The sequence below is a fragment of the Homo sapiens genome, chromosome 13 (genome assembly GCF_000001405.40).
Source record: "Homo sapiens chromosome 13, GRCh38.p14 Primary Assembly".
NCBI lineage: Eukaryota > Metazoa > Chordata > Mammalia > Primates > Hominidae > Homo > Homo sapiens.
In genome coordinates this window covers 98,407,763-98,430,666 of record NC_000013.11, presented here as the reverse complement: position 1 = coordinate 98,430,666, position 22,904 = coordinate 98,407,763, and the positions used below count along the sequence as shown (strand labels likewise).

General features: G+C 46.1%; 1 protein-coding gene across 2 annotated transcripts in view; it reads right to left on the bottom strand.

Moving 5' to 3' along the window:
• Positions 1-22,904, bottom strand: part of FARP1 (FERM, ARH/RhoGEF and pleckstrin domain protein 1) — a 312,588-nt gene that overhangs the window by 24,510 nt on the left and 265,174 nt on the right. For both annotated transcript variants that reach the window (NM_001286839.2, NM_005766.4), the window contains exons 14-17: positions 21,142-21,329; positions 19,844-19,933; positions 18,633-18,766; positions 6,017-6,095 (exon numbers count right to left, since the gene is read on the bottom strand). In NM_001286839.2, the coding sequence (NP_001273768.1) occupies positions 6,017-6,095; positions 18,633-18,766; positions 19,844-19,933; positions 21,142-21,329 (491 nt within the window). The remainder of the gene's footprint in view (positions 1-6,016; positions 6,096-18,632; positions 18,767-19,843; positions 19,934-21,141; positions 21,330-22,904) is intronic.

Here is a 22,904-nt window from a genome sequence, read left to right as displayed (position 1 = left end):
ACAGCCCAGGGGCCGTCAGTGAGCATTACATCGTTTTAAAACCACAGTTCTGCTTCCCTCGCCCCGTCTGCTCAGACAGTAGCTAAGCAGCTATGTGAGCCCCTCCTCTGCTAGGTCTGGGGAGATGGATGAGAGTCAGACAGCGCCCTGACTCTCCTGGAGTCATGGTGGGGATGGGGACAGAGTAAGCGCTTGGATGACAGAGCATTAAAGGAGGAATGAATTCACCTGGGTGGGAGGGAGGACTCCCAAGGCAAGGACACTTCCAGGCAGATAGGGGGAGAGCAGAGGACAGGGGACACCCCAGGACACAAAAACCGAGTTTGCTTTCTTCAAGTCTCACTTGATAATCACCTCCCAGAGTGGGCTTGCTCTCTATGTGCTGGTAACTCCCAAATCTGAATTTTTATTTTTTGTGACAGGGTCTCGCTCTATTGCCCAGGCTGGAGTGCAGTGGCGCAATCTCAGCTCACTGCAGCCTCGAACTCCTGGGCTCAAGGGATCCTCCTGCCTCAGCCTCGAGCAGCTGGGACTGCAGGCTTGAGCCACCACACCCAGCTAATTTAAAAAAAAATTATTTATTTATTTTTAGAGACAGGGTCTCACTATGTTGCCCAGGCTGGTGGTCTCAAACTCCTGGCCTCAAGTGATCCTCCCACCTTGGCCTTCCAAAGTGCTGGGAATACAGGCATGAGGCACCACGCCCGGCCTGAAATCTAGATTCTTCTATCATGTATGTGGGTGTATATTTGTATACATGTCTATAGATATAAAAGGCACAAAATGATGAAAGGTTTTGTAATTGACTTGTTTTTGTAGAAAAGCCTATGGTAGTATCTGGCACAGGCGAGTAGCCCAAGTCAGAGAGGAAAATGCGGCACCAGATCTAGATTTCTCATCCAGGCTATGGCCCAACCTCAGTGGCTTCTCCACTCCCACGCCCCGGAAAAAGCTGGAAACACAGCTGTCCAGACACATGCCCACTTCCTCCTGCCTCAGCTGGGGCCCCCGCATTTATTCTCTAACTTCAGGATGGGTACCACCACCAGCCAGGTACTCACGACATTAAAACCTGGGGTACACTCCACATTCTTTCCTTGTATGAACCCGTCCCCAAGTCCTATCAATTTGTCCTCCAGAAAATGTGGGACCTGCCCTTGTCTTCTTTCCCATGGTCACTGTTCTCATTCTGGCTGTGTGGTCTCCAGCCCCTTCCACTTCACTGTGAGTTGAGCCCCTTGAATGAACTTTCTGCAATGCCACTCAACAGACTCCCCTTAAGCCGGGATCCCTCTGACCTCTCTGGCATTGACGCTTGCGACTCACCCTGAGCCACCCACTGACCGCCCTGCATCCAAATGCGGCACACTCTCGCACCCAGAGACTCTGCACACAGTGACCCCTGCTGAGGACCCCCCATCCCTCGGGGTTACTCCGGGGCCTGCCCTGCTCTGTACTCCTGCATCCTCCCGCACTCACTGCTGTGTCTTTCCACAACCGCCCTTATCACACAGCCTCCCTGCTGGGTTGATTTCATGACTTTCTGTTTTGAAATAGACATTCATAGGAAGTTGCAAAGAAACATACAGGGAGGGATTGTGCACCCCTCACCCAGCCTCCCTCAATGGTGACATCCTGCAAAACTAGAGTACAATATCAACACCAGGAAATTGACATTGGTACAGCCCACAGAGCTTATTCAGATTGCACCAGTTATACACGCTCTTGCATGTGTGTGCGTGCATGTGCGTGCATGTGTGTGTCGCTCTGTGCGATGCTATCACACGTGTGGTCCCCTATTTGATTTTGAGAGGGCATCATCATGTTGTAACATCCTGGCATGTCGTCACATCCTTGGGGGCCTGGCATACACAGTGGGTGTCCAAAGGTCTTCCCTGTATATACCAAAGAGCCAACGAAGCAATGCACACACCCAGGCCAAGGCAGAGGTCTTGGGAGGACACATGAGTTGACGGTGGCCGGAAGGCAGGGTGGAAGGTGAAGGGTTGGGAGCAGGGTCTGGAGAGACAGCCTAGGACTAGAGCAGAGGCTTTCTTCACTAGGTTTAGAGTTTGGACTGCATTCTCCAAACCATAGAGAAACCAGGAGGGCTTTGCGCTGTCAGTTTTGTGTTGTATGAACAGTGACTCCAGCCATCATATAAGTAGTGGGTTGGAAGGCTGGGTTGGTGGGAGGTGACTCATTGGGAAGCTGGCCTGGTCGCCTAGCAGGAAGAAAACAGAGAGCCAGGAGAAGCAAAGTGGTAGAAGTGTCAGAAAGAGGTACAGGTGGTAGAAGCTTGGAGAGACAGGCGATACAGGAAGGAATGAAGGTCCCCACTTGCCAAGCAGGTGAAGGTCAGGATGAAAGGCCCTTTCTTTGCATTGATTTCCAAGCGTTTTTGTGCGTCTGGATGGATGTGTGCAAGTGGACATTCACAGCGTGGGCTGGAGATCCTGATTTGGGTGTCTCTGACTCTGTGGAGGTGGTTAAAGACCCTGGACTACCCTCCCTTGGTTGTGTGACCTCACTCCTGTGTGCAGAGTCTGGGAAGAGCCAATCAGGCTGAGACTGATGACAGCAGGTGAGTGCACGGGTCGGGGGTGGGAGCGAAGCGGGAAAGACACTGCAGGCTCGAGAACACTCTAAGCATTTGGACAACAGTGCTGGCCTGGGCTTCTCACATTTCTGGAAACTTCTGCTGTGCCCCTCCATGCTTTATAGAAATTCTTTAAAACAATAAAAACAGCAATTAAAAAAAACCCCAACTAACTTCTCAAAAAGGCTGCCAGTGACTCTCAGCAACCTCTCCGTCTATTTTTATTTTGCTTGCACAGAGCTCCATGCTATAAACGCTCATGGCATCAGCACACTCCTGAGATGCCAGCACAGCAGGGGAAGCTGGCTGAATGCAGAAATGCCAGCTCCCCAGACCGAGGAGAAAGAACGCCAGGAGCGGATATCAGGTGTATTTTTAGGTGGTCTTCTGCGCTGGGTTAGGGTAGGGGAGGGTGGGATGTCAGCCTCTGAGGAAAAGCAGTGGTGGGAGTTGGCACACAACCTGGAGAAGGCACGAAGGACACTTGCTGAACAGCACCACACTGGGGACTGTCCCCGCGGGTGGAGATGAACCTGGCAGGTCTCTGCTGCTGTCCCCAAAGGCCCACACCAGAGTCCAAGCCTCCTTGAAGAGGGCGCCTCCCTGGGGAGCTGTGATCTCAGATTGAAGAACACAGGGAGAAAAGCTGAGAAACCAGAACGGCCTTGGAAAAAGTACAGAGCATGTGAAACGAGGGAAAAGATGGGAGAGAACAACAGAAACAGCGTCCTGTTACATGAGAGAGGAAAAAGGACGTTTTTGAAAAGCAAACGAAGCCGGTCTGCAGTGACTACATACTGTCTGATCCCAGCTATGTGACATCTGGAAAGATAAAACTATGGAGATGGGAAAAGGTCAGTGGTTGCCAGGGATTTGGGGGGCATCTAAGGGGGATGAATAGGTGGAGCCCAGGGAAGTTTTAGGGCAGGGAAACTGTTCTGTGGATCCCTGTCATTATATATTTGTCAACACCCAGAGAATGTACACCACCAAGAGGGGGCCCTAATGGTCAACCTTGTCAGTATTGGTTCATCAGTTTCCACACGAGCACCACGCCAATGCAAAACGCTAATAGCAGGGGAAACTGTGTGTTTAGGGGTGGACGGAAGAATACGAGAACTCTGTACTTTCTCCTCAAGTTTTCTGTAAAGCTAAAATTGCTTTGAAAGATAAAATACGTTAACTTCAGAAACTCCCATGGAAAGTGGAAAAGATGTCTGTTATCCTTCTATCTGTTGTGCCTCAGCCATAGCTCATGCCATTCAAAATACTGTGGCTATGGAACATCTTAGGTAATTCTTGCTTTTCTTTTTTTGCATAGCATTCTGCAACCCTGATCACTTCCACGGCCTCTCTCTGGTATTGCCTCAAATTGCAAAGGGTTGCTGTTTGAACACAGTGAAAAAACAAAACAATACCTCAGGATCCAGTCAATGTTACCGTGGTCTTTGTTAAGAGAGATTGACAGGAAATCCCTTGAGTGGCAATTGATCCTGTCTTTTCTGTGCTACTCACCGACCATCCTCCTCTTGTCTCTCCCTCACGAGATTCATCTTTGCTTATTTATTATTTATTTTTGAGACAGGGTCTTGCTCTGTTGCCCAGGCTTGAGTGCAGTGGCGCGATCATGGCTCACTGCAGCATCAACCTGCTGGGCTCAAGTGATCCTCTCCCCTCAGCCCCCTGAGTAGCTGGAACTACAGGCACTTACCATCACTCTTAGCTAATGTTTTTTTATTTTTCATAGAGACAAGTCTTGCTATGTTGTCTAGGCTGCTCTCAAACTTCTGGGCTCAAAGCAATCCTCCCACCTTAGCCTCCCAAATTGCTAGGATCAGAGGCATGAGCCACCACACCCGGCTGAGATACATCATTTTAATGGGAAAAAACTAAATGCTAACCCACTTAGCTAGGATTATGGGAATTAAGACAAACCCTAATGGTAATTTCATTCTATGAGTGTCTTGTGTATAGTAGGTGCTCAGTTAGCACTGGGTGGATGGACAGGTGGATGGATGGATTGAAATGGGGGCAGTATGAGCACCTTCTTTAAGGGGTTGCTAGCTTCTCTGGGCAGTTATTAGTTTTTAAGGTTGTCATACAGGCTCTGGGCAGTTAAGATTCAGGAAGATTGCTTTAAAATGTGAGTACAGGTATATTCAAAAGAGACGCTGTGTGAATTAAAACATTTTATGTTAAAGGAATTATTAATGGATTCAAATGAAAACAAAAAAAGGAAGATTTCAGATATAAGAGATGGGGCAGACTTTTTAAATGTGGTAGAGTATTAATTTAATATTTATTGACTTCTTTGGATATACTTTCACTTTTATGTCATTGATTGTAGATATTGCTGGATGATTAAAAACATATTTGCGACCAGGGGTGATGGCTCATGCCTATAATCCCAGCACTTTGGGAGGCTGAGGTGGGTAGATCACCCGAGGTCAGGAGTTTGAGATCAGCCTGGCCAACATAAACCCCATATCTACTAAAAACACAAAAATTAGCTGGGTGTGGTGGTGCGCACCTGTAGTCCCAGCTACTTGGGAAGCTGAGGCAGGAGAATGGCTTGAACCTGGGAGGCGGAGGCTGCAGTGAGCCGAGATCGCGCCATTGCACTCCAGCCTGGGCAACAAGAGCAAAACTCCATCTCAAAAACAACAACAACAACAAAACCAACCAAACAAAAAAAAAAAACTATATTTGCCTCGTACACTGATTTAAAGTCATAGAATTTACTGAAATACCTACACAGCTCTGAATCCAACATTTTTGTCATGGTTATTAGAAGAAACCAAAACAACTGACTGAAAATGAAATGTTCAGTCAGACAGTGTTTGTCCACATCTTTTTTTTTTTTGAAGTTTTGAATCATCCATTCACAGAAAACACTTGTTTTGGGTATAATGCAAAACTTTTGAAACAAAAAAACCTACTAAAAATGCTTTCGCTAAAGTGATTGGCTTTTCATTCATGCTTTGAAATAAAATTATCTAGAAAGGTTGGAGAAGGGTTTGCCGAACAGCCATCTTCCTGATGTGCCTTAGATTAGACCGGGGTGTCCAATCTTTTGGCTTCCGTGGACCACATTGGAAGAAGAAGAATTGTCTTGGGTCACACATGAAATACACTAACACTAACGATAGCTGATGAGCAAAGAAAAAAAAAAAACCCCAAAATCACCAAAAAGAAAATCTCATAATGTTTTAAGAAAGTTTATGAATTTGTGTTGGGCCACATTCAAAGCCGTCCTGGGCTGTAAGCTGCTGCTCGGCGGTGGGTTGGACAAGCTTGGTGTAGAGAGTCAAATCAGGTGATGCATGCTGATGGAAATGGCTTACAGCCTATGCCCATGGCAGCCCCGCTCGATTCTCCTTGGTGAACCTTGCTCCACCCAAATCTCAACCAGCTCACCTTCATGCCCTGAATGTTCTTCAGCATGACATCGCCGATTCTTTGGTAATCTCTGATTTGGGCATTTGAGCGGCCTTCCCTGAGAGCAAAAGCAAAGGGTTGGAAATACAAAGCATCAGTAGTGACATGACAGCCCTGGGTTACAAATATCAGCCTACCGCTTCCTTTCCAATCACCCCTCCCCGGACATCTCCTGAACTTCTTATGGGGTCATGGAATGTTATCGTTGGAAGGAGACTTGGAAATTACCCCACTCATCCTGCAAAGAATTCCACTTATGCTTTGAAAGAGACAAGAGAGAACCAATTTCCAATCCTTTTAATTTGGTTTAATTATTTTACTCTACCCATCTGCACACTGGAGTTTGATTTTAGATTAATTTTTTTCCATCCACACTTGGGTGATTTTAGCATCATTAGGTCAGCACAGAGATCATTTGCAATAAGTAGCTTGTAAACAGATTCCATCCTAGAGATGGGTACTGCTAGACACCTGCAGGAAGCAAGACTCAGCCCCAGAGGAAGGTTTCTGCTTCTAAGAGCCCTTGCCTGAAGCAGACCAATAGCTGTCCATAGCCCTTGGGAAGAGAAATGCATAACTGAGAAAGGACAGGAGATGGTACCTAAGGTGGGAGTGACGTAAATGCCATAGAATAGGGTAGGGTGTGTGGCCCAGGAAGAGAGAGAGGCGTGGAGGGGAGGGCCATGGTCCCCCAGACATATTGGGTGCTAGACAGCAAAGCTGTGGGCACTTTCAGTGAGGTTTGGGGTACACGTACACCTTTCAACGGATCAACGCAGAGAGAAATATAAAAACATGGATGGTAGTGAGTATTTACTAAGTACTGTCCATGTACCAGACACCATGCTAAGTTAATTATAGTCATGAGCCCTTTTAGTCCTCATAGAAACCGTCTGAGGCAGGTACCACTATCACCCTCATGTTATAGTGAAGGAGACAGAAGCATGAAGAAACCACGAACTTCTCTGATATCTGTTATCACGAGGTGTGAACTCGCACAGGAGCCAGCTCTAGTTTCCCAGGCCACACGCCTAACCGTTGTGCCAGTGCATAGCTGCTGACTTTCCCATCACTGAGAAAGGAATTTCCCAGAGACAATTAAAACATGGTTTTCAACAATCAACCTGGCAATTATCTTTAAACCAACTGTTCAGGAAAACCAGAAGCCAACTTACATGAAAGGAACGAATTAAACAAACAAACAAACAAACAAACAAAACTGGCACTAGGCTTCTAATAGGAAGTGAGAGATCTTCAAAGTGGAAAAAAATACCCGGCAACTGAAGTCAGGAGGGACCCGGGATCTACATACACCCTATGATGGTTAATATCGAGTGTCAACTTGATTGGATTGAAGGATGTAAAGTATCAATCCTGGGTGTGTCTGTGATGGTGTTGCCAAAAGAGATTAGCATTTGAGTCAGTTGAGTGGGAAAGGCAGACCCACCCTCAATCTGGGTGGGCACAACCTAATCGGCTGCCAGCGTGGCCAGAATAAAAGTAGGCAGAAGAACATGGAAAGACTAGACTGGCCTAGCTGCCCAGCCTACATCTTTCTCCTGTGCTGGATGCTTCCTGCCCTCAAACATCAGACCCCAAGTTCTTCAGCTTTGGGACTCAGACTGGCCTCCTTGCTCCTCAGCTTGCAGACAGCCTATTGTGGGACCTCACCTTGTGAACGTGTGAGTCAATACTCCTAAATAAACTCCTCTCATATATACATCTATCCTATTAGCTCTGTCCCTCTAGAGAACCCTGACTAATAGACACCCCACAGATATGGTGGCTAAGAACCCTCCGGCAACGCGAGAAATGGCTTCCACTGGGACACTCAGAGCCTTCCTGACTGTTGACTCAATCTCCGATACATCAAGGATCTTCTGACGAACAGAAGAGGGCAAGGAGGATGCACACGCTTAATTAAGCAAACCCAGGAGGTAGAAAAGTCATCGTGAGTAGAAACAGGTTGCTCCTGGCTTCACATTCCAGGCAATCAACAGCATTATTTATTCTATTGGTTCCAACTAAGCATATAGTGCAAATTACATCACAGGAAAGACTGAGGGCACCCAAACCTTTTAGGTAATTAAAGCTTCTCTAAAATCAAAGAAAAGAGAGCACCCCCAGGCTCCCCAAGCTCCTTCCTGGGTCTTCGTTGCTGCCCTGTGTGCTGGTGGTCTTCAACCTGGTCCATTCTCTTCCACCAACACAGCATCCTCAGTCCTCTGCGTTCTCTTAGCTGCTTTAATTGGCACCGCTCCTCTGCTAATTAAACGAATCTCTCCCCACTGCTCCCCTGAAAAGGTTCTGGGAAGATAGCTGTTAACCTCTGAACCACCAGAGCCCACCTCCCCTCCTCCTATATTCGGGCTCTCCGGGCTGGTCGGCCCCACTGCGTGGCCCTCCAAGCTCATCTGCTACGGGAAGCTTTCCTCTCCAGACTCCCTCATTAATCTTCAGGCCAGCCCTTCAATTCTCGTGGCCACCTCCTTCAGGCTGCTCCCAAGCTATCTGTGTGTTTTGGGAATCCTTTGGTTGTCCTCTCTTTTCACCCTCTACTTCTTCCTATACAAGCCCTCCTATTTGCCGTGGTTTCGGTTCATGATGCCAAACCACGGCTGACCCAGGTAATGCATTTCTTAGACCATCCAGAGCACTCCATGTGAATGACCCCATATCTCCTATCTCAAACACAAAATGTTCCAGATTTTAGGATCTTATTTCCAACACCAAATCCTCTTCCTCCATTTTCTTAAAAAAAATTTTTTTTTTTTAAAGATATGGGGTCTTGCTTTGTCACCCAGGGTGGAGTGTGGTGGTATCATCATAGCTCACTGCAGCCTCCAACTCCTGGTCTCAAGCAATCTTCCTGCCTCAGCCTCCTGAGTAGCCACTAGAGGTGTGCACCATCATCCCAGCTAATTTGTTTGTTTTTGTAAAGATGGGGTCTCACTATTTTGTCAAAGCTGGCCTTGAATTCCTGGACTCAAGCGATCCATCTGCCTCAGTCTCTCAAAGTGCTGGGATTATAGGTATGAGCCACATTGCCTGGCCTTGTTATCTGGAACTTAAATAATTGGCTCCAGAATTTTTTGAATGGATCTGCCATTTGAGAACATACAGAAATAAAGGACTTAAGTTCAGAGGACATCATTTAGATATTCTAGTGAGAGTCTGGATTGCGGGAGAAGAAATGGGGAGGATTCTGGCTTCCATCAGTAACAAGCAATATCCTCTCTCTCATAGACACACCCCTACCCAAGAGAAAATGAAGGGCTGGGAAGAGGACGCTGGGCGAGGGCGGTGGGGAATGAGATGGAAGCCAAATGTCATCTATTTCACTTTCTCTATTCTTTTGCCAACTATTTATTATCTACTGATGTTAAAGCTTCAAAGTCAAAAGAACCTTCCTTCCCACATCCGTATCTCTCTAAGTCCCCAGCATCGTTCATGGTAGAGAAGGCTCTGGGTTGGCACCATCAGACCTCTGTGCAGTTGGAAGATGCAAATCCCTAATTGTAAAGAGGGTCAGCTCTACGCGATGTGGTGAGTACAGGCTGGAGGCCTCTAAAGTCACTGCAAACACAAGCACATCTGTCTTTCTCGTCCCATCCTGTCCCCACCCCAGCTCACATAGCAAGTCCCAGCCCTGCTTGGGTCCAAATACACAGGACACAGCCCCAGGGACCGGGGACAAAATCCAAATTCCTGCTGCCCATCTAGAAACATCCTCATGGTTTTATTTCCTCTACATGTCACTGCCTCCAAATGTATAAAGCCAAAGTGTTCCTTCTATTATGAACGGCTAAAAGGTCACTGTATTATCAAGAACATGAAAAAGTAATTATAACTCTTCCACCACGTCCTCTGGATGTTAACCTCACAAGAAAGGGGTCCTTGTCTGCAAGGCAGGGCCACATATTTATTGCCTGGGTAATTACCACACAGCAACCAAGATGAAAATTCTTTTGACAATTTCACTTAGGAAAACCATGTAAAGTCTGCTAAGAAGCTGCCTGGTTGCTCAATTCTGACCTGTGCAATGTGATTAACTTACTCCCAGGAGCAACTACACATCACCTCAGCAAAGGACGCAACACACACCCACACACGTCATGAATTTTCAAGTCTTCCTGACCTCGTATCAAAACTTCGTTCACCACAACGTGAGCTGGTCAGTCATTCAGCAGCAGACTGAGGACAGGGAAGAAGTAAAGGACATGAAAATGACCAACTGTGGGTGGGCGGCTGACCAACAGCAAGGTTGCCTCCAAGGGTGGACTGTGAGTATTCTGCCCATCACCCCCCTAAGAGGAGGCAGAAGGACAGCCTGTATGACGAGTTTTGTCTCCAACTGCCAGGAAACACTTTTGTGGGCTGTCGTCGCAGGCAGGGGCAAAGCCAGCCAGGATAAATCAATACTTTGCCCTCCTATTCACCATCCCAACCTCAGGGTCAACATAAAGCCCATTTAGAACATCAGATAAACAGTTCACAGTGTGCTGGTGACCTTGGTGGCAATAAAATCTCCCAACTGTCCTCTAAAGCATCACGAGCCCTAGGGTGCGGGCTCCCTCTGAGAGGGCGTGTTTTCTGGAAGGCAGTAACATTTGGCCAGGCTGTGGTGAAGTGCCCCGGGAGATTCCTTAACCATGAAAGAGGGCAGTGACTGGCACACTGCATACCCCATGGGCCCAATGTAAACCCAAGTGTGTTTACTCATCACCCAGCTCTCCCCTTCTCTCCTTGCCACAACATGAAGAGCCATCTCCTCAGAGCACACATGCCAGCGGTGCAGCTTGGAGCTTGAGGGTTCATTTTTGTCCCCCTGCTCTATCTCTAGATGCTTGCTCCACCCCGAAAATAGATCTTTTTTTGAAGCCTCTTAGTCTTCACTTGCAACACCAATACCACATCATTGTCCTCACTATTCCCTGCAGTCTCTATGATTCTAAATGGAAAAAAGTATGAAATTATGTATGTTTGTGTGTCTATGTAAGTGAAAAGCATAGTGTGAAATGAGTAAGTGGGAACAGACGGATCCTACATTAATATATCGGGTGGGGAGGGTGGCTGGGTTCCAAAAGCAAACAAATTAGCCAGAGTAACAGAGTGTGTGTGTGTGTGTGTGTGTGTGTGTGTGTGTATTTTTTTTTGGAGACAGAGTCTCGTCTGTCACCCAGGCTGGAGTGCAGTGGTGCAATCTTGGCTCACTGCAACCTCTGCCTCCTGGGTTCAAGTGATTCTCCTGCCTCTGCCTCCCGAGTAGCTGGGATTATAGGTGCCTGCCACCATGCCCAACTAATTTTTCTATTTTTAGTAGAGATGGGGTTTCACCATGTTGGCAAGGCTGGTCTTGAACTCCTGACCTCAGGTGATCCACCCACCTCGGCCTCCCAAAGTGCTGGGATTATAGGCGTGAGCCACTGTGCCTGACCTAACATATTGTGTATGACATATGTATCAGCCACATGTGATATATGTGGATTTTTCATTAAAGTCCCATTGGTCTTAGCATTAATTCACATGCCCACTTGTCAAGATGACATTTGTGCGAGAGGCATCTTCAATGGGCCGGGAACGCCGCGCCTTTGGCAGCTGCGGGAAACACAGAAGACAGAAGCCCTCCCATTCTCAGCCACCCTCAAGTCTGTCAATTACACTCTTAGGTTGCTCAAAGCTATAGCTTCTTTCTTGCCTTCCTGAGGTTTACCACCAGGTCGAATTGAATAAGAGGATCCAAAGTGACAACCCGGTCACAGGCAGGTTTGATAGCATCCAGGTGAGCCCCGGTATCATTCCTGTTATCAACAGGGCACATATTAAAATACAGTAGAAGAGAAGAGCTGTGTCAGACTCGTCTAGTGACCCGGAGAGGGCTTTCTCTCAAGTGTCTTCTAGTAGAAACCCACCTGCAATTCTGGCAATTGGCAAAACGGTTTCACTCGTCTCAGGGAAACAGCTTGCTCTCAAAGCACTGTGAGCTATATAGTCACGACTAAGGCAGAAAATCCAAGAAAAACTAGCTCAAAGCTATGCTCAAGAACATGGAATCTAGCCAGGCGTGGAAGCTCAACGCCTGTAATCCCAACACTGGGAGGCCAAGGCGGGTGGATCACTTGAGGTCAGGAGTTCAAGACCAGCCTGGCCAACATGACGAAACCCCTTCTCTACTAAAAATACAAAAATTAGCCAGGTGTGGTGATGCACGCCTGTAATCCCAGCTACTGGGGAGGCTGAGGCAGGAGAATTGCTTGAACCTGGGAGACGGAGGTTGCAGTGAGCCAAGATCACACTGCTGCATTCTATCCTGGGTGACAGAGGGAAACTCCATCTCAAAAAAAAAACAAAAAACAAAACAAAACAAAACAAACAAATAAACATGTAATTTTACTCATGCTTAAAAAGGAAACAAGGCCAAGTGTGATGGCTCATGCCCATAATCCTAGCACCTTGAAAAGCTGAGGTGGGAGGATTGCTTGAAGCCAGAAGTTCAAGGCTGAAGTTATCTATGATCATACCACTGCATTCCAGCCTGGGCAACAGAGCGAGACTTTGTCTCTAAAAAACTAATAAAAACATAAATAAATAAAAGGATATTCGATCACACATTTTGTTTAGCCACTCATGTCAATGGACATTTGGGTTACCTCTTCCTTTTGGCTACTGTGGATAAAGCTGCTATGAACACTGATTTTTCTTTTAATGATACCTAGCACAAACACTTGAAGCTTCAGAGAGCTAGTAGAATGATGAGAAAAGTATTTAATTCATTTTTATTCTATGATGGCTCACTGGTGCTTCTATAAAGATGCTCCATTTTTCTGGGCAGCAAAACAATTTTCTGACCTTAGTCATCTCCATTTCAGCCACCTAGCATCACGGCAACACAATGCTGCTCCCTCTGTGAAACTCCTGACAGCAGCTGTGAGAGTGTCCCATCCCTGAAAGAGCCCCCTCTCTGCCCTGGAGGGATCTCCAATCCCTCAGGACACCCTTCTCACATCTCTTACCCCTGCAGGACTTCCTCCTGCCCGGAGTCTGCTCCTGTACACCAGGAACTACCTTCCTCAAACCATCCTTGCCCTCCTGGCTGCCATTCTCCAAGACCGGCTATCTTCTGGACCCTCCACCCCCATGTGTTCTTTTTTTTTTTTTTTTTTTTTTTTTTTTTCAAACCTCTGGTGGCCTCTGTTTCCTTTGCTGGTTTTTATGCTGCCATGATCTACGTTTATGGAAAGCAAGCTGCCATAAAGGTATAGTCGAGAAGATTCTGCCCTCAGCTCTCTTTTCCTCTTAATGTTCTCTTCCTTGAAGATCTGATTCTTCTTGTGGATAACTTCCAAACCTACACCTTTCTGCCTCATTTCTTTCCAAAGCCTGGGACCCACATTTCCAACTGTTTGGAGCACTTTATCACAGGGCCCTCAAAATTATCATTCCCAAAGCAAGCTCATCTTCCCTTATCGTACTTGTATGCTTCTTTCTTCCTGGCTTCTTTGACTTCCCTCCCATTTTCATGACCATCCTCTGAGCTGACTGTGTTCAAAACTCTAGGTGGCCTCCCCTCTCCTTCCTCACTGTCTCACAGAGCCTTGGCTGCTCAGTGATATCTCGACATTCAGTCAGTCTGGTCCTCCCAGCCAGTCTCCCGCATGCTTTCCACGTGACTCTGGCCAAAGTTTCTCCTAAAACATGCAGCTGATCCTCCATGAAAACTGCGTGCACCCCATAGCCAATTCCGAGGGCCTCTTTGTACGACTGACTGCTTGCTGTCTCCCAGCTCCCAGCTGGCTCGTAAGTGGAGTTTTGTACCCTGCAGAATCTACCAAGGCACTCTGTAGCAAAGCAGGCCTTCCACCTGTCTCGGGGAACCCAGCTGGCCACCTTGCACTCAGCCTCTGCCAGTCACCTCAGGGCTGGCATTTGGGAGTCCTGACTGCACGCCAAAGGTTGTTAAGTGGCTTTCTCTGAACTCATTTGAACAGCTGAGTAAACTGTTCTTGCTTTCACAAGGAAAAGAACTCCTGAAGTTATTAGAACTCACCAAACCAGTTTCCTTGTTTTTGAAGAAAGCAGGTAATGTGGCTTTGCCAGCAAGAAGCAGGCCTTGGGCGTCCATCTCCTTCTCAGGTGTGTTTACTCAGGAGAAGGTGACATTTGGATAGGGGCAGGTGTGTTTGCTGAACTGAGCTTCAGCCTAATCATTCCGGAAAACTTCCTGAGACTTTCTCTGCCCTGTAATTTCCCCACTGTTGATGGAAGTATATTGCAGTCTCATGCAGGACTGCGAAGGGAAGGTCACACTCACTAGATCACTTATATACCAAATTCTGGGGAACTTTTGCTGCATATTATACTTTAGATCTCTTTCCATTAATGATAATCATTGAAAATATTACCATGGAATAAAATCTGGACTTTAGTTAATGTAACATACCAACGTTGTTTTCTTAGTTTTGCCGACTCTCCTATGGTGACATAAGATGTTAACGGGAAGAGGATGGGTGCAGACCATACAGAAACACTATTGTCTTGGCAACTTTTCTCTGGAATTATTTCCAAATAAAAAGTTAATTTTTAAAAAATGATCAGCTTCCCCGCTTTCTCTGCGCAGCGCAGTATACTAAGCCCCTTCCAGACACTGTGCCATTTGCGTAACACCCTGCATGGGAGATGCCATCCACATTTCACCCAGGAGGAAATGCGGTTCAACGAGGCCCACACCTACAGCTGAAGACAGCCCCATGGCGGGGGTGTGACCTCGAATTCGGATCTTACCCATCCCAATCGACAGGAGCCAACCTGCGCTTCCGTATCACGGCAACGTGAGGAAAGGCATGGGTACACATACATGCACTGAACACACACATGCGCAGTCTGTCAGTCAGTAGCCAGGGTGAATCCTTTCTTAATAATCTTCCCTGTGATCCATTCTTCTCACTGAACAGATTTAGCCCAAGGGTTGCCTGTTCTGTATAGGCAATGATGGTACATGTGTGTCCTCAGGGACAGAACTGGCAGCAACGCTCCATGACCACCCTGGATGTGACACCCACACCTGTGAGAGGACACGGCTCTCTGTGCCCTATGTGCCTGCCTCCTCCTTTGAGAGTGCAAGTCCCCCATGGGCAAAGCCTGCCACGCACACACTCACCTACTCATTCATTCATTCATTCACTCATTCATTCATTAATATATTCCTTCATGCATTGCTTGTAGACTAAAGAAACAAGAGTTATAACCAGTCTATGGCATGCAAACCAAGGAATCATAGACTGTTAGCACTGTCAGAGGCACTGCAGGGTCGGTTGTTGCAGAAAAGGTATTCATCACGATCACCCCAAGAAGTACTTAAAACACACAGATTCCTGAGTCTCACTCTTAATAAAGCTCTGATTCAAGAGAACTGGATAGGGCCTGGCAATCTGCCTTTTTCAAAGCCCCCTCCAGTTCCCAAGCCCAGTGACCCTGAGGCACCGCCAGGTTTGGGGTTTTGCTCCACAGACAAATCCTGTCTGGACATGAACAGTCAGTTTCTGCTGGAGCACCCCTGAGATGAAGGAGCTCCTGACCTCACAAGGCAGACTCTCACTGCCACGCTGCACTTAGGCTTCAGAAATCCTTTTCTGTGTTCAGACATTGTGCTTCTTTGGAAATTCACTCCATTGTTTCAATTTTGTCCTCTGGTTCCACTAAGAAGATGCGTATGCCCTTTCCCACAGGACCAGACTGCAGGTACCTGATGGGAGCCATCATGCTTTGGAAAGTCTCTTCTCATCCAGTCATTTTGTTTTAATGGAATGCATTCTCATCCCATTTGACACGTGAAAGCCGAGTGTGGTGTAGTGCTCTGCAGGAGTGCCGAACCTTGAATTTTGAAGGAGCCATCCTTTTCTAGGCTCTGGGCTCTTTTTAATGAGGCATTTTAGGGCAAATGTTCTTGACCTTGGCTACACTTTGGAATCACCTGGGAAGTTTAGAACCTACGAATGCATTGGTTCTACCCCTCAGAGACTCTGATATAACAGGGCTGGGTTATATCAGGCTGCTTGAGGTAACTTCAACGAGGAGCCGATGCTGAGAGGTGCAGATCTAGAGAGACACTGGTTTCTCTCTGTGTTGGTCTATGGCTCATACTAAACTCATTCACACTCAGCCTTTTTCCCTTGGAATTCCTGCCACACCAGGTCCTCCTCATCATGTTCTTGAGTAATTGATTAGCTTAACTTCACTGCAGCCCCTTCCAATGATCCCTGACCAGTGTCGTGTATTTGGTTTAGGTCTATTGTTGAAAGGCTACTGCAGGTCCCACTGATGGAGCTGCTTGTTGACTATCTGCTTTCTCTCTAGCTTTGAGAACTTTACATGCTTCTGATGTCTTTCTGTAAAACATGGGTTACATTATGGATCTTAGAAAGATACTCTACTGAAAACCCTCTGGGAATCAAATTATATCAACTGCTTTTTAAGCAACTCACTACTCTTTCACAGATAAGGTAAAGATTTATGGCCATGGAAGATCCACGCGTACGGCATTTACTCCTAAAATGAGTCGTATTAGACAGCTCTCTGCATTTCTCTCTGGTGGCGCCCTCCAATGGGGAGCCAGCCAAAGCCACCATGAAGGGCTTTCAGGGTACTGCAAACTGATGACATTTCCTGTGTGTGGCCTCTCCAACCTTATTTAAATCAACTGCCACATGCACTGAGACTGCTATAGTGACATCAGCTCAAGATGCCCTGAGCCTCCAGGAAGATTTGCCTAAGACGGTACTAACACATGTCTCGCTGGCCAGAGAACAAACTGCCAAATGGGTTCTCCAGAGTTGTAAGGTCTTTGACCCCATTATGAGAGCATCATTCAACTTTGTATGAATGATGAGACACAGGCAGAACACACGTGAAAGGTTCTAGGTCAACCTGGGGAAGGTAAAGTTACATTTGGTAGAATTTTAATTTTAATTTTGGAGACAGGGTCTTGTTCTGTCACCCAGGCTGGAGTGCAGTGGCACAGTCATAGCTCACTGCAGCCCTGAACTTCTGGGTTGAAGTGATTCTCCTGCCTCAGCCTCTCCAGTAGCTGGGACCACATGTTTGCATCACTATGCCTGGCTAATTAAATGTTTTTTTGTTGAGATGGGGTCTTGCTATGTTGCCCAGGCTGCTCTCGAACTCCTGGCCTCAAGTGATCCTCCTGCCTCAGCCTCCCAAAGTGCTGGGATTTACAGGCATGAGCCACTGTGCCCACATTTTTATTTTTAATTTTGAAAAGTGACATTTCTCTTATATTCATAATACCAAGACTCTTGCTAACGTGGCATTTTCAATTTTTCCCATTTCCAGCGAGGCTGACTTTGTACCTATTATTTCTCCAATTCTGGCTGTGCTCTCCCCACTGGGGCCTCTCAGTAATGCCTGTCACCTCCCTCTCTCAAGGGAAGGAGAATTGCACATGAATTATCCTCCAGGTATAAAAAATGTACAAAGCCGGACATCACTTAGGGAGATCAGAGAACTCCCGCTGCCCCAGCATATTGGCTTCACAACACAGAAAGCAGCTCTGCTTAGCTGTTAAACCGACGCTTGAATGCCACAGTCTGGGATCACCAGAGGCAGGACAACCTCACATAGGGCTCCTTCAGGCCCTACAGTCACTGAGGGCCCCTGAGGCCACTCCAAACCAAATTCTCACTGGTAGTGAGGATACAGCCCATAACGGGTTCTATTTCTGCCAAAAACTTTTTGCTATTTTCTCCTGGCATTTTTCAAATGCATGTTTAGTAGACAATCAACTCCCCATGTGTCTCTCTCCATATAATTGTCTTTAAAAAACTGCCATAGGATTTGTCTACAAAACCTTCTATTTTAGGTAAAGGTGTAGAGGATTCTGCATGTGACAGTCCATAAAGCTTTTCCTGGTTTTTTGTACCTCCCTCTTCTCTCACATTAATGTTTCATTTGGTATTTAATGGACAGGCTTAAGATAATTTTTAACCAATCTGCTATTGATGGACACTTAGGTCATTTCTATTATTTTAATTATTCATTGGATGTCTTTGTTTAAATGGCATTTCATGTATTAAAACAGATCCTTATGATAATTCAAGATAAGGTAAAAGTGTGTGTGTGCGCATGCACACGCCACATACATCTCTTTTTCAAAGCATGTTTTAAACACTGGAATAGAATACAGAAAACTGCACAAGGCATGTATGTACTTCATAAAAGACTTAAAGCAAGCACCAGTAAAATATTACCAGCACCCCTCAAAGCCTTCCTAAGCCCCTACTCTTTATAATCCCTATTGCCCCTCCAGAAGTAACGACTGTCTTTATTTTGTGATAATCATATAATCATCATAAGAGAGGGAAAAAAATCCATCTTGAAGAACTGCAAACCAGAGGAAAGAAACTGCAAATGAGATCTGAACGCATGTAGGATTTAACTGAAAATCATTTGAAGGCTGACTTGTTGTAAGCCAGTTTCCTGCCTTTCATCTTTGTTCCTGCCTGCTGCCTACCCAGGGACGACATAAAAATAACACAAGCAAGACGGAGGGAGGAACGTAGCTGGGAAGTAGAAATGTACTCACCACAGGGCAAGTCGTTGCTCAATTTCCTTGAGAAAATTAGTATGAAATTTGTGCAAAGGTTCAAAATTCGGGAATATGAGACTTTTCAGTGCTTCCGGCATGGCGTCCTCTTTGCTCACTGTGCTCTGAAACCACTGGAAAGAAGAAGACGATGCACTTACGGGTGGAAAGATCAATGACGAGTGTCTGCAGTTTTCTCCAGAAGTCACATGCAGCCAAATGCACTGGGAGGAGCCAGGGCTTTCCTGCGAGGTTCTTGGCATTTCAGGAACACGGGGCTGCCCGGGCCTTACTGCTTCCCCTTTCTTTCCTTAGACGGGGTAAGAAGCACCCATCTGTATATTACTGCTTTCTGCAGTTTGCTACCCATTGACTGTTAAAGCCAGGAGAAATCTCTTAAATGGGGAACTACTCGAATCAAAACCTCCATTCTGGCCGATTCACTGGATAACCACTAATTTATGACCACTGAATATTCTGTGCTTCATTCCTTTAAGAACTTCCATCTCTGTTCCTTTGTTAAAACACTGGGCATGAAGGTGGCCAAACCTGGGAATAAAGCCACAGCCTTCACACAAAGTCACTCCTGTCGCTGAGGTGAGCTGGGTTCACAACGCTTAGCGAGCACCTGTCAAGGGCCTAACACAATCCACAGCCCAGAGGATCAGAAACTCAGTGATCCCAATTTCCCTCCCAATTGGCTTGTGCTTTCCCAGAATCCAGGGGTCAGGAAGACATCTGCAATGCCCTGAATTTGTTTTCAAGACTGAGCAGGACTGATTAAAATAATAAAAGGCGGTCTTCTGGCAGATTTTGCGGACAAGGCTCAATTTATTATCAAAGATAAAATGAATCTCCTGTTCACCTCCGAGGTCTCCCGTGAACAAAAATCAGCAGTTATACTTGGCAATGGGCAAAACACGACATGTTCTGGACTGGTGCACACAGATGGTAAAATGTTTAATTTTAATTTTCTCTGCCTTAGGAACTTCCTTCTTTTGCACTTGAAAATCATCATTATCAAAAATGTTATAGCATATATTCCCAATTAAATATACTATTAGCATTTAATTTCTATACCCTAGGACCACAATCCTTTCAACTGAAGTCAGCGAATCCAACATTTAATTAGCTCCAGCCTCCCCGTATAGCTGAGTATTAGCTGAGATAAATCATGTAATCGAATGCTTTTGGGGAAATACTGCACATACCGAAGTGATAACTTCGAGATCCTTCAGATATGTTCGCTCGGTGGTAGACACTTCCTTAGCTATGAAGTACGCTTTATCAGTTGGGAATCTCTGCAAAACCCAGCAAAAGAAACAAAGCGCAATAATCATTTTTGAGTATGCGTCTCGGAGAATGTCCTCATTAAAGTGATATGTTACTAACTTGTGATCTTTTGTTAGCTGGCATCAACAAGAAATAAAATTCTTATTCTCCTTTTTGGGTTAGGAGAATAAATAAGAATGTATTCTCCTTTTTGTGTTAAGAGAATAAATATGAATTACTCTCCGTTTCATGTGAGGAGCTAGGCTAAGATAATGGATTTCCATGATGAGAATATAGTCTAGGAAGGTTTCCTTCCAGGTAAAAATTACCGTCAGCAAAAGGACTCAAATTAGGCAAAGGAAATACATAAAAAAGGAACTGTCTCGTCCTATGTCCGTTGGTGGAGTTGGTGTTCATGACATGGAAGTTACATTGTGGGAACACATGGTAGCTGGGTCTAAAGGGACAGGGGTGAGATCAGCTGGTGGCATCATCGGCCTGAACTCCCTTGGCGGCTGTCAGTCAGGTGGGCAGCCAGCCCCACCGTGGAGGAGGCCGGCCATTCAACCTTGCTTTCTCTTTAAACAATAAGTGCAAGGAGGTCGCCTGTTGTCCGCCATTTTGCCCACTTCTCATAGGAGTCCACCTGACTCCACTGCTGGGTGTACACACAACAGACTTCAAAGCAGAGACTCAAACAAATACCTGGACACTCATGTTCACAGCAGCCAAAAGGTGGGAACCACATGACTGTCCATTAACAGAAGAATGGATAACAAAGTGTGGTTTATACACACAGCGGGACATCACTCAGCCCTCAAATGGCAGGCAATTCTCACCCATGCTACATATGGATGATCCATGAAGACAGAATGCTAAGTGAAATAAGCCAGTCACAAAATGGCAAATACTGGGTGATTCTGCTTATATGAGGTACCTAGAGTAGGCAAATTCATAGAGACAGAAAGTAGAATGAGGTGCCAGTGGCTGGCAGGAGGGGGAAGGAGGAGTTAGTGACAAATGGATGTAGTTTCTGTTTGGGAAGATAAGTTCTGGAGATGGATGGTCGGGACAGTGGCACAACAACATGAATGTACTTAATGCCAGCAAGCTGTACACTTGAAAATGGCTCACATGGTACCTTTGCTCTTATGTATATTTTAGTACAATTTTTAAAATTCACACAAACACACGTGCACACACAGCCACACACGCGCTTGAGCCCTCGGCCCTGTACCTTCCTCCGGCCCTCATCCTCATCGTCCGTCCGGGGGCAGGCCTGGTCATTCAGCAGCGGGCTGATCAAGGGAGAGGCCTGCTTGGTGTCGGGGCTCAGGTTGGGAGACAAGGTCACGTTGGCAGGGGCCACTCCCCCCTGCGAGTTCACAGACAGCTCGGAAAGGTGAGGACTGCCAGTCAGGGAGCCTGTTTGGGGATGAGAAGTTTTAAAGAAAAAAAAAGTAATTTTTTTCTGGGACCTGATTTCTATTCACTACTTTCACCTTTTTCAAATCGTAAGATTTGACTACCCCGCCATGGCAAACCTAAAGCGATTCTTTATTTTCTAGTTTTTTTCCTAAGTCAAAGCTGCCTTAATAAAGATACCAAAGTATGAAGGATTCAATGGAGCCTCATTACGTAATTAATGATAAGATAGAGAACTCTGCTTAGATAGCAATTAAAATAGCTTAAAAGCATAGTGTATCCCGAAATAGGAATTTCATCTCCCAACTACTGCTTACTTCTAAGAATTACTCAAGAAAGACACAGTGTCTATGTCACAATGAGACATGGGGAAATGATTAGAAAATACAACTATACTAACAGGCATCTAAGCAACTGCTGTACTTAGGACACACTACGTCCCGTAACAATGGGTCACAGCTAACAGAAAGGTCAAGCAACTAACTCCCCATTCTACAAAGAACAGAAGCAAGCTTGTTATACCTGGTGATGTCATTCCATGTCTCTCACTGTTTGGGACAGAAACACTAGCATCACATTACAGGCATATGTGATCACTTCAACATGCAAAAGCAGACGTCATTATATTATCACAATTTCCCTTTATAAGATAAAAGTGACAGGGTACCATGAGTCCTTGAGAAAGGATACCATAGTAATATGAAAATGTGGCCAGGCGCAGTGGCTCGCGCCTGTAATCCCAGCACTTTGGGAGGCCGAGGCAGGCGGATTGCCTGAGGTCAGGAGTTTGAGACCAGTCTAGCCAACATGATGAAACCCCGTCTCTACCAAAAATACAAAAACATTAGCTGGGCATGGTGGCGGGTGCCTGCAATCCCAGCTACTTGGGAGGCTGAGGCAGGGGAATTGCTTGAACCAGGTAGGTAAGGTTGCGGTGAACTGAGATCGCCCCACTGCACTCCAGCCTGGGCGACAAAGTGAGACTCTGTCTCAAAAAAAAAAAAAAAAAAAAAAAGTATATATTACCCGCTATGAGTCAGCCAAGGGAGATGATATGTATAGGACACTCTTTGCCAATACACTTTTGCAAATATCTGTATCTCAACCCAATGAAGCTACATGGGATGTTTCAGAATATACTTCTAACCTAAGTGTTTTTGTCTAACACTTATATTTATACTAATAAAGCAGATTTGCTAGAGCTAATATGAGGTAAGCAAAGTTAAAATAACCTGCAGTCCTGTCTACTACCATGATAAGGAAAGACAAAGTCAGCGCTTTCTCAATTTCCCAGTCTACAGTTTCAGGCTCGCTGCTACTTGGTACGCTGAAGATCTCTAAGGGAAAAGGTGGAGGGCGGTTTTCTAGGAGCACCCCCATTTTCCTGTCATCTGTTCTCACCCTCTGGAGTCATGCATGTGCATTTTGGAATTACAAGATACAACAGCCTACCTAGAATGGAGCTGATGAAGTAAGGGCGGTGAATTTGGTCCCAGTATAAATGAACCCTGGAGAAACCACCACCAGCCCCCACCCTTGGTGCCAGGTTGAGCAGTCAGCAGCACCGCCAACACA